General features: G+C 39.4%; 3 annotated features.

Moving 5' to 3' along the window:
- Positions 6,513-7,077: an enhancer, noted in NCBI's record as "H3K27ac-H3K4me1 hESC enhancer chr11:102617370-102617934 (GRCh37/hg19 assembly coordinates)". NCBI's record gives its function as "activates a minimal SCP1, AML or CMV promoter by ChIP-STARR-seq in primed H9 embryonic stem cells {active_cell/tissue: H9 hESC(primed)}" and the evidence as "EXISTENCE:reporter gene assay evidence [ECO:0000049][PMID:30033119]".
- Positions 7,078-7,642: an enhancer, noted in NCBI's record as "H3K27ac-H3K4me1 hESC enhancer chr11:102617935-102618499 (GRCh37/hg19 assembly coordinates)". NCBI's record gives its function as "activates a minimal SCP1, AML or CMV promoter by ChIP-STARR-seq in naive H9 embryonic stem cells {active_cell/tissue: H9 hESC(naive)}" and the evidence as "EXISTENCE:reporter gene assay evidence [ECO:0000049][PMID:30033119]".
- Positions 12,347-13,546: an enhancer, noted in NCBI's record as "MED14-independent group 3 enhancer chr11:102623204-102624403 (GRCh37/hg19 assembly coordinates)". NCBI's record gives its function as "activates an origin of replication core promoter dependent on BRD2, BRD4, P300/CBP and CDK7 cofactors, and independent of MED14, by STARR-seq in HCT116 cells {active_cell/tissue: HCT116}" and the evidence as "EXISTENCE:reporter gene assay evidence [ECO:0000049][PMID:35650434]".

The following is a 16,664-nucleotide window of genomic DNA, read 5'->3' on the forward strand; positions in this document are numbered from 1 at the left end:
GTTTATCAAGAATATTGGCCTGTAGTTTCTTTCTTTGACGTGTCTTTTTCTGGTTGTGGTATCAAGGTAATATTGTCCTCATGGAATGAGTTTGATAGTATTCCCTCTTCCTTTATTTTTGGAATAGTGTGAGTAGAATTGGTGTTAGTTCTTCTTTAAATGTTTGGTAGAATTCAGCAGTGAAGGCTTTGGGTCCTGAGCTTTTCTTTGCTGGGGGACATTTATTAAGTTTCAATCTCATTACTTGTTATTGGCCTATTCGGATTTTGGATTTCTTCATGGTTCAATCTTGGTGGGTTGTATGTGTCTAGAAATTTATCCATTTCTTTTAGGTTTTCCAATTTGTTGGCATATAGTTGCTCATAGTAGCCTCTAATGATCTTTTTCTGCAGTATTGGTTTTAATGTCTCCTTTTTCATATCTAATTTTACTTACTTGGGTCTTCTCCCTTTTTTCTTAGTTAACTGGGCAAAAGATTTGTTGCTTTTGTTTATGTTTTCAAAAAGCCAACTTTTTGTTTTGTTGATCTTTTGTATTTTTTTGTTTTAATTTCATTTATTTCTGTTCTGATCTTTATTATTTCTTTTCTTCTATTAATTTTGGGTCTGATTTGCTCCTGCTTTTTTAGTTTTTTAAGAGGCATTATTATGTTATTTATTTGAAGTTTTTATACTTTTTTGATGTAAGCACTTACTGCTATAATCTTTTCTCTTAGTACTGCTTCACTGTATCCCATAGGTTTTGCTATTTTGTATTTCCACTTTGATTTGTTACAAGAAATGTTTTCATTTCTTTCTTAATTTCTTTATTGACTCACTGGTCATTCAGGAGGATATTGTTTAATTTCCATGTGTTTGTATAGTTTCCAAAATTCCTTGTTATTGATTTCTAGTTTTATTCCATTGTGATCAGAAAAGACACTTGATATTATTTCAGTTTTTTTTTTTTGAATTTTATAGACTTGTTTTATGGTGTAACATATGATCTATCCTTGGGAATGATCCATGTGCTGAGGAGAAGAGTGTGTATTCTGTACCTGTTGGATGAAATGTTCTGTAAATATCTATTAGATCCATTTGGTCTATACTGCATTAATTCCAATGTTTCTTTGTTAATTTTCTGTCTGGAAGATCTGTCCCATAGCATATAGAAGTCTCCAGCTATTAATGTGTTAGGGTCTATCTATCTTTTTAGCTTTAATAATATTTGCTTTATATATTTGGGTGCTCCAGTATTTTATGCATATATATTGACAATTGCTATGCACTCTTGCTGAATTGACCACTTTATTACCTTAATGACTTTGTCTCTTTTTTTTAATTATTATACTTTAAGTTTTAGGGTACATGTGCACATTGTGCAGGTTAGTTACATATGTATACATGTGCCATGCTGGTGCACTGCACCCACTAACACGTCATCTAGCATTAGGTATATCTCCCAATGCTATCCCTCCCCCCTCCCCCCACGCCACAACAGTCCCCAGAGTGTGATGTTCCCCTTCCTGTGTCCATGTGCTCTCATTGTTCAATTCCCACCTATGAGTGAGAATATGCGGTGTTTGGTTTTTCGTTCTTGCGATAGTTTACTGAGAATGATGATTTCCAATTTCATCCATGTCCCTACAAAGGACATGAACTCATCATTTTTTATGGCTGCATAGTATTCCATGGTGTATATGTGCCACATTTTCTTAATCCAGTCTATCATTGTTGGACATTTGGGTTGGTTCCAAGTCTTTGCTATTGTGAATAATGCCGCAATAAACATATGCGTGCATGTGTCTTTATAGCAGAATGATGTATAGTCCTTTGGGTATATACCCAGTAATGGGATGGCTGGGTCAAATAGTATTTCCAGTTCTAGATCCCTGAGGAATCGCCACACTGACTTCCACAATGGTTGAACTAGTTTACAGTCCCACCAACAGTGTAAAAGTGTTCCTATTTCTCCACATCCTCTCCAGCACCTGTTGTTTCCTGACTTTTGAATGACTGCCATTCTAACTGGTGTGAGATGGTATCTCATTGTGGTTTTGATTTGCATTTCTCTGATGGCCAGTGATGATGAGCATTTTTTCATGTGTTTTTTGGCTGCATAAATGTCTTCTTTTGAGAAGTGTCTGTTCATGTCCTTTGCCCACTTTTTGATGGGGTTGTTTGTTTTTTTCTTGTAAATTTGTTTGAGTTCATTGTAGATTCTGGATATTAGCCCTTTGTCAGATGAGTAGGTTGCAAAAATTTTCTCCCATTTTGTAGGTTGCCTGTTCACTCTGATGGTAGTTTTTTTGCTGTGCAGAAGCTCTTTAGTTTAATTAGATCCCATTCGTCTATTTTGTCTTTTGTTGCCATTGCTTTTGGTGTTTTAGACATGCAGTCCTTGCCCATGCCTATGTCCTCAATGGTAATGCCTAGGTTTTCTTCTAGGGTTTTTATGGTTTTAGGTCTAACGTTTAAGTCTTTAATCCATCTTGAATTGATTTTTGTATAGGGTGTAAGGAAGGGATCCAGTTTCAGCTTTCTACATATGGCTAGCCAGTTTTCCAAGCACCATTTATTAAATAGGGAAACCTTTCCCCATTGCTTGTTTTTCTCAGGTTTGTCAAAGATCAGATAGTTATAGATATGCGGCGTTATTTCTGAGGGCTCTGTTCTGTTCCATTGATCTATATCTCTGTTTTGGTACCAGTACCATGCTGTTTTGGTTACTGTAGCCTTGTAGTATAGTTTGAAGTCAGGTAGTGTGATGCCTCCAGCTTTGTTCTTTTGGCTTAGGATTGACTTGGCAATGCGGGCTCTTTTTTGGTTCCATATGAACTTGAAAGTAGTTTTTTCCAATTCTGTGAAGAAAGGCATTGGTAGCTTGATGGGGATGGCATTGAATCTGTAAATTACCTTGGGCAGTATGGCCATTTTCACGATATTGATTCTTCCTACCCATGAGCATGGAATGTTCTTCCATTTGTTTGTATCCTCTTTTATTTCATTGAGCAGTGGTTTGTAGTTCTCCTTGAAGAGGTCCTTCACATCCCTTGTAAGTTGGATTCCTAGGTATTTTATTCTCTTTGAAGCAATTGTGAATGGGAGTTCACTCATGATTTGGCTCTCTGTTTGTCTGTTGTTGGTGTATAAGAATGCTTGTGATTTTTGTACATTGATTTTGTATCCTGAGACTTTGCTGAAGTTGCTTATGAGCTTAAGGAGATTTTGGGCTGAGACGATGGGGTTTTCTAGATATACAATCATGTCGTCTGCAAACAGGGACAATTTGACTTCCTCTTTTCCTAATTGAATACCTTTTATTTCCTTCTCCTGCCTAATTGCCCTGGCCAGAACTTCCAACACTATGTTGAATAGGAGTGGTGAGAGAGGGCATCCCTGTCTTGTGCCCGTTTTCAAAGGGAATGCTTCCAGTTTTTGCCCATTCAGTATGATATTGGCTGTGGGTTTGTCATAGATAGCTCTTATTATTTTGAAATAGGCCCCATCAATACCTAATTTATTGAGAGTTTTTAGCATGAAGGGTTGTTGAATTTTGTCAAAGGCTTTTTCTGCATCTATTGAGATAATCATGTGGTTTTTGTCTTTGGCTCTGTTTATATGCTGGATTACATTTATTGATTTGTGTATATTGAACCAGCCTTGCATCCCAGGGATGAAGCCCACTTGATCATGGTGGATAAGCTTTTTGATGTGCTGCTGGATTCGTTTTGCCAGTATTTTATTGAGGATTTTTGCATCAATGTTCATCAAGGATATTGGTCTAAAATTCTCTTTTTTTGTTGTGTCTCTGCCTGGCTTTGGTATCAGAATGATGCTGGCCTCATAAAATGAGTTAGGGAGGATTCCCTCTTTTTCTATTGATTGGAATAGTTTCAGAAGGAATGGTACCAGTTCCTCCTTGTACCTCTGGTAGAATTTGGCTGTGAATCCATCTGGTCCTGGACTCTTTTTGGTTGGTAAGCTATTGATTATTGCCACAATTTCAGATCCTGTTATTGGTCTATTCAGAGATTCAACTTCTTCCTGGTTTAGTCTTGGGAGAGTGTATGTGTCGAGGAATTTATCCATTTCTTCTAGATTTTCTAGTTTATTTGCGTAGAGGTGTTTGTAGTATTCTCTGATGGTAGTTTGTATTTCTGTGGGATCAGTGGTGATATCCCCTTTATCATTTTTTATTGCGTCTATTTGATTCTTCTCTCTTTTTTTCTTTATTAGTCTTGCTAGCGGTCTATCAATTTTGTTGATCCTTTCAAAAAACCAGCTCCTGGATTCATTAATTTTTTGAAGTGTTTTTTGTGTCTCTATTTCCTTCAGTTCTGCTCTGATTTTAGTTATTTCTTGCCTTCTGCTAGCTTTTGAATGAGTTTGCTCTTGCTTTTCTAGTTCTTTTAATTGTGATGTTAGGGTGTCAATTTTGGATCTTTCCTGGTTTCTCTTGTGGGCATTTCGTGCTATGAATTTCCCTCTACACACTGCTTTGAATGCATCCCAGAGATTCTGGTATGTTGTGTCTTTGTTCTCGTTGGTTTCAAAGAACATCTTTATTTCTGCCTTCATTTCGTTATGTACCCAGTAGTCATTCAGGAGCAGGTTGTTCAGTTTCCATGTAGTTGAGCGGCTTTGAGTGAGATTCTTAACCCTGAGTTCTAGTTTGATTGCACCGTGGTCTGAGAGATAGTCTGTTATAATTTCTGTTCTTTTACATTTGCTGAGGAGAGCTTTACTTCCAACTATGTGGTCAATTTTGGAATAGGTGTGGTGTGGTGCTGAAAAAAATGTATATTCTGTTGATTTGGGGTGGAGAGTTCTGTAGATGTCTATTAGGTCCATTTGGTGCAGAGCTGAGTTCAATTCCTGGGTATCCTTGTTGACTTTCTGTCTCGTTGATCTGTCTAATGTTGACAGTGGGGTGTTAAAGTCTCCCATTATTAATGTGTGGGAGTCTAAGTCTCTTTGTAGGTCACTCAGGACTTGCTTTATGAATCTTGGTGCTCCTGTACTGGGTGCATATATATTTAGGATAGTTAGCTCTTCTTGTTGAATTGATCCCTTTACCATTATGTAATGGCCTTCTTTGTCTCTTTTGATCTTTGTTGGTTTAAAGTCTGTTTTATCAGAGACTAGGATTGCAACCCCTGCCTTTTTTCGTTTTCCATTTGCTTGGTAGATCTTCCTCCGTCCTTTTATTTTGAGCCTATGTGTGTCTCTGCACATGAGATGGGTTTCCTGAATACAGCACACTGATGGGTCTTGACTCTTTATCCAATTTGCCAGTCTGTGTCTTTTAATTGGAGCATTTAGTCCATTTACATTTAAAGTTAATATTGTTATGTGTGAATTTGATCCTGTCATTATGATGTTAGCTGGTGATTTTGCTCATTAGCTGATGCAGTTTCTTCCTAGTCTTGATGGTCTTTACGTTTTGGCATGATTTTGCAGCAGCTGGTTCCGGTTGTTCCTTTCCATGTTTAGCGCTTCCTTCAGGAGCTCTTTTAGGGCAGGCCTAGTGGTGACAAAATCTCTCAGCATTTGCTTTTCTGTAAAGTATTTTATTTCTCCTTTGCTTATGAAGCTTAGTTTGGCTGGATATGAAATTCTGGGTTGAAAATTCTTTTCTTTAAGAATGTGGAATATTGGCCCCCACTCTCTTCTGGCTTGTAGGGTTTCTGCCGAGAGATCTGCTGTTAGTCTGATGGGCTTCCCTTTGAGGGTAACCCGACCTTTCTCTCTGGCTGCCCTTAACATTTTTTCCTTCATTTCAACTTTGGTGTATCTGACAATTATGTGTCTTGGAGTTGCTCTTCTCGAGGAGTATCTTTGTGGCATTCCCTGTATTTCCTGAATCTGAACGTTGGCCTGCCTTGCTAGATTGGGGAAGTTCTCCTGGATAATATCCTGCAGAGTGTTTTCCAACTTGGTTCCATTCTCCCTGTCACTTTCAGGTACATCAATCAGACGTAGATTTGGTCTTTTCACATAGTCCCATATTTCTTGGAGGCTTTGCTCATTTCTTTTTATTCTTTTTTCTCTAAACTTCCCTTCTCACTTCATTTCATTCATTTCATCTTCCATCGTTGATACCCTTTCTTCCAGTTGATCACATTGGCTCCTGAGGCTTCTGCATTCTTCACGTAGTTCTCGAGCCTTGGTTTTCAGCTCCATCAGCTCCTTTAAGCACTTCTCTGTATTGGTTATTCTAGTTATACATTCTTCTAAATTTTTTTCAAAGTTTTCAACTTCTTTGCCTTTGGTTTGAATGTCCTCCCATAGCTCAGAGTAATTTGATCGTCTGAAGCCTTCTTCTCTCAGCTTGTCAAAGTCATTCTCCATCCAGCTTTGTTCTGTTGCTGGTGAGGAACTGCATTCCTTTGGAGGAGGAGAGGCGCTCTGCTTTTTGAGTTTCCAGTTTTTCTGTTCTGTTTTTTCCCCATCTTTGTGGTTTTATCTACTTTTGGTCTTTGATGATGGTGATGTACAGATGGGTTTTTGGTGTGGATGTCCTTTCTGTTTGTTAGTTTTCCTTCTAACAGACAGGACCCTCAGCTGCAGGTCTGTTGGAATACCCTGCCGTGTGAGGTGTCAGTATGCCCCTGCTGGGGGGTGCCTCCCGGTTAGGCTGCTCGGGGGTCAGGGGTCAGGGACCCACTTGAGGAGGCAGTCTGCCCATTCTCAGATCTCCAGCTGCGTGCTGGGAGAACCACTGCTCTCTTCAAAGCTGTCAGACAGGGACATTTAAGTCTGCAGAGGTTACTGCTGTCTTTTTGTTTGAGTGTGCCCTGCCCTCAGAGGTGGAGCCTACAGAGGCAGGCAGGCCTCCTTGAGCTGTGGTGGGCTCCACCCAGTTCGAGCTTCCCAGCTGCTTTGTTTACCTAATCAAGCCTGGGCAATGGCGGGCGCCACTCCCCCAGCCTCGCTGCCGCCTTGCAATTTGATCTCAGACTGCTGTGCTAGCAATCAGCGAGACTCCGTGGGCGTAGGACCCTCCGACCCAGGTGCCGGATATAATCTCGTGGTGCGCTGTTTTTTAATCCGGTTGGAAAAGTGCAGTATTCGGGTGGGGGTGACTCGATTTTCCAGGTGCGTCCGTCACCCCTTTCTTTGACTCAGAAAGGGAACTCCCTGATCCCTTGCGCTTCCCAAGTGAGGCAATGCCTCGCCCTGCTTCGGCTCGCACACGGTGCGCGCACCCACTGACCTGGGCCCACTGTCTGGCACTCCCTAGTGAGATGAACCCGGTACCTCAGATGGAAATGCAGAAATCACCGTCTTCTGCGTTGCTCACGCTGGGAGCTGTAGACTGGAGCTGTTCCTATTCGGCCATCTTGGCTCCTCCCTCAACTTTGTCTGTTTTTATACTTTTCGTCTTGATATTTATTTTGTCTGATGTAAGCATAGCTACTCTTATTCTCTTTTGGCTTTCATTTGTATAGAGTATCATTTTCCATCTCTTTATTTTCATTCTATGTGTGTCTTTAGAGGTGAAGTGTGTTTCTTGTAAGCAATAGATCATTGGGTCTTATTGTTTAATCCATTCTGAATCTTTGGACTGGAAACTTTGGTTCATTTATATTTAGTGTTATTATTGATAAGTAAGGACTTACTCTTGCCATTTTGTCATTTGTTTTCTGGTCTTCTCTTCCTTCTTTTGTTCTTTCCTGTCTTCCTTTTCGTAAAGATAATTTTCTCAAGTTGTATGTTTTAAATTCTTGCTTTTGATTTTTTTGTATATCTGTTGTATGGTTTTTGATTTGAGGTTATCATGAGGCTTGCAAATAATATCTTATAGTTCAGTATTTTAAACTGATGACAACTTAACACTAATTGTATAAACCAGCAAAAATATAACTAATAAAAACTGTACATTTTAACCTCATCTCTCCACTTTTTAACTTTTTGTTGTTTATATTTATATCTTATTATACTATGTCTTGAAAAGTTGTTGTAGTTATTATTTTTCAAAGGTTCATCTTTTAGTCTTTCTATGCCTTGCATAGAAAGTTTACATACTACAGTTATAGTATTATAATATTCTGTGTTTTTTTTGTTTACTTACTATTACCCCTGAATTGTGTACCTTTGGATTATTTCTTATTGCTCATTAACATCCTTCTTTTTAAGATTGAAGAAATCCATTTAGCATTTATTATAGGACAGGTTTGGTGCTTATGTAATCCCACAGCTTTTGTTTGTCTGGGAAAGTCTTTATTTCTCCATGTTTGAAGGGTATTTTCCCTAGATATACTATTCTAGGATAATTTTTTTTCCTTCAGCACTTTAAATATGTCACGCTACTCTCTCCTGGTCTTTAAGATTTCCACTGAGAAGTGTGCTGCCAGACATATTGGAGCTCCTTTGCATGTTGTTTCTTTTTTCTTGTTGCTTTTAGGATCCTGTCTTTATCCTTGTCCTTTCAGATACTGATTACTAAATGCCTTGAGGTAGTCTTATTTGGGTTAAATCTGCTTGGTGTTTTATAACCTTCTTGTACTTGATATCTTTCTCTAGGTTTGGGAAATTCTCTGTTATTATCCATTTGAATAAACTTTCTACTCTAATCTCTCTCTCTCTACCTTCTCTTTACAGTCAATAACTCTTTCATTTACCCTTTTGAGGTTATTTTCTAGATCTTGTACGTATGCTTTTCTCTTTTGTCTCCTCTGACTGTGTATTTTCAAATAGCTTGTCTTCAAACTCACTATTTCTTCAGCTTGATCAATTGTGCTGTTAAGAGACTCTGATGCATTCTTCAGCATGTCAATTGCATTTTTTAGTTTCAGAATGTTTGCTTGATTCCACGTAATTATTTCAATGTCTTTGTTAAATTTATTTGATAGGATTCTGAATTCCTTCTCCATGTTATCCTGGATTTTGATGAGCTTCCTCAAAAGAGCAATTTTAAATTCTTTGTCTGAAAGGTCACATATCTCTGTCTCTCCAGGATTGGTCTGTGGTGCCTTATTTAGTTTGTTTGGTGAAGTAGTGTTTTTCTGGGTGATCCTGATGCTTACAGATGTTCATCAGTGTCTGGGCATTGAAGAGTTAGGTATTTATCATAGTCTTTTTAGTCTGGACTTGTTTGTACCTGTCCTTTTTGGGAAGGCTTTCCAGGTATTCCAAGCAACTTGGTTGTTATGATCTAAGTCTTTGGTCACAGCAGCCATATGTGCTTTAGGGGGCACCCCAAGCCCAGTAAACCTGTGGCTCTTGTAGACCCACAGATGTACCAGCTTGGTAGTCTTAGGTAAGATCTAGAGGAATTCCCTGGATGACCAGGCAGAGACTCTTCTTCTCTTTCCTGACTTCCCCCCCACCCCCCTACCCACCAAATTGAGTCTCTCTCTCTCTCTCTCTCTCTCTTCCTCCATAAGAGCTGACTGAATTCTGCCTGGTGTTGCAACACTAATGACAGGGCAACACTAAGTTCCAATGCAAAGTCTCACAATCACTGTACACTCCCTCTTCCCCTAGTGCAGATTCTCTCTTCATGCCATATGATCACTGCAGGGGGATAGGAGAGGGCTGGTGTAGGTCATTCAAGACTGTCTTTCCTACCCTTTTCAGTGCCTCTTTCCTTAATATGATGTTAAAACCAGGTAGTGTGATTGCTCACCCGATTTTGGGTTCTTATGGAGTTGCTTTTTTGTGTGAATAGTTGTTCAATTTTGTGTTCTTGCGGGGGTGTGAGGACAACTATTGGAAGCTTCTATTCAACTATCTTGCTCTGCTTCCCCTGAAGACTATTTGTAATAGCCCCAAATTGGAAACTACTTATATGTCCTTCAACATAGACTGGAGAGATAAATTGTGGGAAATTATTCACTCAATGGAAACTCTACAGCAAAGAGAATAAATGATCAAAAATTACATAAAAATATATTGATGAATCTCATAAATATAATGTTGAGTGACAGAAGTCAGATACTAAGGTATATAATGTATAATTCCATTTATTTTAAGTACTGAAAGAGATAAAGCTAATCTATGGTATTAGATTAGAAGTTAGGATAGTAGTTACCCTTAGAAAGCTTAGTACCTGGAGAAGGGATTTGGGGATACTGGCAATTTTCTTTTGTGTGCTGGTTACTTGGTTGTGTTGTGAAGAGTCATCAGCTATATACTTATGATACATGGCTTTTCTGTATTCATATTATATGTTGATAAAAGTTACCTTTTTAAAATATATATACTAAATCTCACTCTACTGCCCAGGCTGGAGTGCAGTGGCGCGATCTTGGTTCACTACAACCTTCACCTCCTGGGTTCAAGTGATTCTTGTGACTCAGCCTCCCAAGTAGCTGGGATTACAGGTGCCTGCCACCACACCCGGCTAATTTGTGTATTTTTTGTTAGTAGAGATGGGGTTTCATCATTTTGGCCAGGCTGGTCTTGAACTCCTGACCTCAAGTGATCTATCTGCCTCAGCTTCCCAAAGTGCTGGGATTACAGGCGTGAGGCACTGTGCCCAGCCACTTTATTTTTTATACGAAGTTTAAGTGTCTGTTTTCTTTAATATGTGACAGTGTTGCCATGTACATGTAAGGATGATACAGTTTTACGCTGTTTTTTCTTTGTTGAAACTGAGGGCTGTTATTGTCTTGGGTGGATTGAGATATGCATCCCATATGTGCAGCTGCTCAGGTTAAAGTCAGAGTCTTGGACTCTAGTAAAAAGCTTTTTTCTGTGAAAACCTAAGGATGACCTTGATTGACAACCCTTAGTACTTGCTTAAAACTAACTTATATAAGTTCATGAAGCAATATATTCTAGCTAACATAGAATATGTTCAGATTGAAGTTAAATAAGATTGTATTTCTATGTCTCTGCCTTGTGTTACCAAGAGACTGAAATAAAATACTGAAATACCTGGTTTCTTAGAAAAGAACATATTTTGGGCTCATTAAAAATACTTTTTATTTTCTGTTTGGTGATAGTCAACCATCAGTTATTTCTGCACTTGAACCAGATGTTAGCTTTCAGGAGAGTCAAAATTTGCTTCATTTTAGGATTACATTCATACTGCCTTCTTCTACAAAAGAAATAGAAAAAACCTAGAAATAAAAGAAACTAGATAATGATTTTTCACATGAACTCTTGAAAATATCATATTTTTGTGTACACAGTTTACTGTCTTATCTATGTAACACTAAATGTGTAATTTTATGATAGTGAAATGAGGAAATTGAATGGTCTTTACCTTTATTTTTCAAAACAGGTCAATTTTTTTTACTAATTCCGGGGAGGTCATCAATGATTTTGGGATAACCTGCATCCACGGACTGCATATTTTCATCATACCTGGTAACAAAAAATAACTAAAAATATCACATTGTGGTTAATATAAAAACAATAAAAAACACTTAACTTTCATGTAGAACTTTCCATGTACTAATCACTGTCCTAAGTGCTTTTCATATGAAGATTCATTTAATTCTCACAACAAATCTGAGAGGTAGGTACTGTCTGTGCCTCAATTTTGCAAAACCCCGATGGCTGCTTTTAAAAATTATGGGTGGGTACATTGTTGGCATGAAACTATTAAGAAATTTTAACTGGGAGGGAGAGTGGGGCAAACTAGACAAACTCTAAGTTATTCTCAACCATAAAAATCTGATTCAAATTTTCCCTTGGGCTCCATGTTCTGTCCTATCAAGGAGAAATGCTTCATTTTCTCCTTTTTGGATGCCTCTAGTCCCCTTTGTGTGTTCTGCTCTTTATCTCCTTTTCAAATGCAAGCCAACAAGTTCCTTGCCTTGCTAGGCAGCAGTGTGATAACAGGTAGGGGACTGAATGGCTGTGGGCCTGGCTGCATTCATTCTCAGAAAAAAGGAAAGTTTCAGTGAAATTTGAGAAAAATTTTAAAAGGCAACTCTCCTTCCACCAGAGTGATCTGATTTCCCAAGTTTTCTGAGGGTAGGTCTTTACCTCCAATACTCATTGGCAACAAAGAAATGTGTCTTTCCAGTGTCCTTCTCATAAATGGCAGCATCAATTTTCTTCACCCTTTCAGGGAAGACAAAGGAGCTGTAGACGTCCCTGGGGTAGCCACTCAGCAGTTGATCCTCCTGAACGACCCAGTGCTTACTGCCTGTCAACAAAAAATCGGCCATGAAAAGATTTGCCTGGAGTCTAGTAGATATTAGACAGAATTTCCTCCAGACATTTGCTTCACGAGAAGTGGATGGAGAGTTTTATTCCAATGTAAGGTGCACTCGAGAAGACCTTTCTTCTTAGTATAATTGGGTTACTTCTCAAGCTACACAGGTGTGTGTGTGTGTGGTGGGCACCCTGCAGGACTACAAGGGTGGGAGGCAGATGGACACCTTCTGCAGAAGACATATCTGAGCTTTCGACCAGGCTGACTCCAGACAAAGGATTCTGTATTTGTTCATTTGGTTACTCCAGAATGTCAGTTCATCTTACATCATGAAGCCAGAGTATCTCTGCACAAATAGAAGTTACCACCTCATAGAAAGGCAGTTTGAAACTTCATATTTTTAAAAATCCTCCTTATTGGCAAGATATACACCTTATGCTAGTATGCTTCAAGATTCTTTGCTTATTTAAACCAGTTTTTAATTTTTTTTTAAATTTTCTTGAGACAGAGTCTCACTCTGTCCCCTAGGCTGGAGTGCAGTGGTGCGATCTTGGCTCACTGCAACGTCTGCCTCCTGGTTCAAGTGATTTTCGTGCCTCAGCCTCCCAAGTTGAGTAGCTGGGACCACAGTCACACGCCACCATGCCCAGCTAATTTTGTATTTTTAGTAGAGACAGGGTTTCACCATGTTGGCCAGGCTGGGCTTGAACTCCTGGCCTAAAAGTGATCCACCCACCTCAGCCTCTCAAATAAACTCCTTTAAGTTACTTATTTTGCACTGTGATAGGGTCTAGTGTCCTTACATTTTATGCATGCAAAATCCAAAAACCTGAATATTTTCAAAGCACTGAATAGTTGACAAATGTACATAATGATATGATATTAAACATTCTAGTAAAAATTTTAGAGTAATGTATTTTTGTCAGTAAAATTACACAGCTTGAAGAAATATTATTCTCTTACATTTTTATGAAATGAGACAAAATAGTTACCTTTTTAAAGTAATTTATAGTGTCAACAGTTTATATTTATTAAAGTATTTATACTAATAAAGTCAAAATTGGTTCATTTTACTGAAAGCATTCTTTCAGATAAAACAAAAAAAATTCTATAAGCTATGGGAAGGAAAAATAAAAGAGGCAGTGAAGGAATTAGCTGACTCACTTCTGAAATCCTTGGTCCTTGTTTCATCATTATCAAAATGAACATCTCCTCCGATACCTGGTCCAGGTGGGAATGCATGAGCAAGACAACCATCATGTCCATAAAAGGGAGAATTGTCATGGAGATCTGCAAGAAAAAGAATTCAACAAAGATATACCCTTGTTTTATTCAGCCTTACCCAGGTGAGACAAAAGAGCTATAGCAAGGAGCCAAAAGACACACTTCATCTGTGAGGCTTTCCTCCATCAGCAATTCTGATGGAGCAGATCCCAGGGTAGCAGGAGGGAACGTTCAGAATGGTTTTGGGAGAGAAGAGCTTACCTCCTCACACAAAGGATAATATTATGTCCCCTTCACTCTCAAAGTCCCTGGTGAAGGTCAGGGCCGAGGCCTTACTCCAGAGTTCAAAGGCTTTCCCAGTGGCACGGTCCACATCCTCTTGAGGCAGATTTGGCATGTAGTTTTGATCCTTAAAATGATAAAGGAGAGAACAGAGACACAGAGAACCTCATTTCTTCCCACTGTGGTGGGAAACAGCTGTCTCTCACTCTGGTGCGCAGTCTTATTACCTGTGGGTCAGATTTGTTTGCTCCCAACAAGGGCTCTCTTGAGTGAGGATGAGGGAAGCCACATCAGGCACCCCACATCTGGGCTGCTTCATCAAATTCGATCTGGCTTCCCAGTTACCTTCAGCCCAAAGAAATTCTGCATTTGCTTCAGCTTCTCAAGCACTGGGCTACTGTCTCTCTGCCTTCCAATTTGATTGATTTCACTCTTCAAGTTGTAGTAGCAGTTTTCTAGGTATTTCTTATAAAGAAAAGAATACTAAAATAGTAGAAGTAAAGTCTTTCTCAGTTTTCTGAAAAATTGCAGCATTTCACTATTGTAACAATATAGCCCTTTTCCTTAATAATTGAATGAGAAGAGGGAAAAAATCTGTCTGCTTCTGTAGTGATCTCGTAGCCCTTATTATGTTTAGCAGTGGTGCAGAAATGTTACTGTGGTAGAAGAACCCATGCCATTGTTAAGTCTAGCTTTACTCTTGAGGTCAGAATCACAGTTAGTACAGCCAGTCTATGTGTTGCTTGCTCCTTTGGTTCCCTCTAGCTTTACCTTCTTTTTTCTTTTTTTCTTTTTTTGATACAGTGTCTTGCTCCGTTGCCCAGGCTGGTGTCCAGTGGTGCAATCATAGCTCACTGCAACCTCAAACCCTGGACTCAAGCGATCCACCTCAGCCTTCCAAAGTGCTGTGATTACTGGTATAAGCCACTGCACCCAGTGATATATTTTTTTTTTTTTTTTTAAATGAGGGGACCTGTTCCTGACAAACTACTTGTTTCCTAAATGAATCCCAAACTTGCTTGAATTCCTACCTCTTGACCTTTGAAAAATGGGAACACGCTGCTCTTGCATTACTGGCAGCTGCAATGCAGCATTTACCTGGACTATCTCTGCATCTTGTTCTTGTGTTTCTGGAGTCGCTGGGAAGCTGTGCAACCCCACACCCCAGAGCAGCACCAGCAGCAAAAAAAAAAAAAAAAAAAAAAGCCTGGACATGCTGGCCTTTGTCTTCCTTCTCAGTGCAAGGCAAGTGATGGCTCCCTACCTGACTGCTGTTCCAGTGTCTCAGCCCACAGGCTCCCTCTTTATGTAGGGTCCTGGCACTCCCAGAAAACAACAAAATGCTATTTGATTCACCTAGGGAGACATCCTCTTCATTCGCAATGTGCAGTCTCAATATTCATCAGAAATTGTGACATAATGGAAGTTAACCAGTTGCTTTTGCAAACTCATGATTATCATCAATAAGGCCATCAACAATGAAACACACCCCATCGTACACAGTTAAGCAAAGCTGTAAAGCATGGCTAAGTCAGCCATAAAAATATCTGGGGGAAAAGTGCTCCTGTCCAAGGAAACGACTTGTGCAAAGTGTTGGGGAGTAAACGAGCACACATTCAAGAAATAGCACACCAAGACCAATGTGGCTGGAGCAGAGTGGGCAAAGGGAAGAATAGTAGGGGACAAGGTGAGTGATTGCAAAGACAGAGGCAGATGAGAGGGAGAGCTTGTAGAGCATTGCAGGGATTCTAGTTTTGCTAGGAGTGATATAGAGAGTTATTGTCCTGACGTCCCCTGGTCTCTTGCTTCTTGTTAGGACTACTACCTTCCAGGACTGCCACTTAGGCAGGGTCTTATGGCAACACAAGAGAGAGAAAAAGGGCAAAAGTAAAATGTGCTTCCCAAAGCCCGTCGCCAGTCAAAGGAACCTGGGTCTCCTCCATAAGATGTTATTTCCTGCACTGCACTTGTTGAGTCTGCTAAAACACACAATACACTATAATACTACAATATTTTCTTTGTTAAGATAATCTTGGCTTTTGTTAGTGTGCATCACAAAGCTAAATAAAATGAAACAAACTTATTAGCTGAATCATTTTTCAGTGAAAGTTAATGACTGTGAAAGTTCTACGTGAGAAGCATATTTCTGAGAGGACATTGACAGCAATCAGTTGTTCTGTTATGAAGCTGGGTCAGTACCTACTCATCTTTGTGACCACTGAACCCTTTGAAATGTGGCTAATCTGTATAAGGTGTGCCACAAGTGTAAACTATGCACCAAATTTTGAAAACTAAGTATTTTTTTAAAATGAAAAATATCTCATTTATGATTTTTAAATATTGGTAGCCCATGCTAAAATGATATTTTAAATATATTAGGTTGCATAAAATATATTATTAAAATTAGTCTGTCTTGTTTTCTTTTTACTTTTAAAAATGTGGCAACTAGAAAATTTAAATTTCTACATGAGGCTCTTTCCTCCTCTCATCTCCTCTCGTCTCCTCTCCCCTCCTCTCCTCTCCTCTCCTCTCCTCCCCTCTCCTCTCCTGTCTGTCTCCCTCTGCCACCCAGCCTGGAATTAATGGCATGATCACAGCTCACTGCTGCCTTGAACTCCTGAGCACAAGTGATCCTTCTGCCTCTGTCTCCCAAGTAGTTAGGACTATAGGTGCACACCACCAAGCCCAGGTAACTTTTTTTTTGTAGAGATGGAGTCTTACTATGTTGCCCAGGCTAGTCTTGAACTCCTGGGCTCAAGTGATCCTCCAGCCTCGGCCTCCCAAAGGGTTGGGATTACAGGCGTGAGCCATTACACTCAGTCTTTTTATTACATTTCTATTGGACACTGTTGACCTAATGATCTACATGATTAAAAGATGGGTCAGTTAGCCAGACATTTCATCAGCTATTGATTACTTAGGGCCTACTATTTACAGAACACTGTACTAGGCATTGCAAATGATTAAAGCAGCTATGCCCCACACAAGAACATGGCCTCTGCTGTCATCTTGACATCATCTATGTGGAAGATGAAACATACGCATCCAGTAATTTAGCAGCA

This window comes from Homo sapiens, chromosome 11 (genome assembly GCF_000001405.40).
Source record: "Homo sapiens chromosome 11, GRCh38.p14 Primary Assembly".
In the NCBI taxonomy this organism is placed as follows: domain Eukaryota; kingdom Metazoa; phylum Chordata; class Mammalia; order Primates; family Hominidae; genus Homo; species Homo sapiens.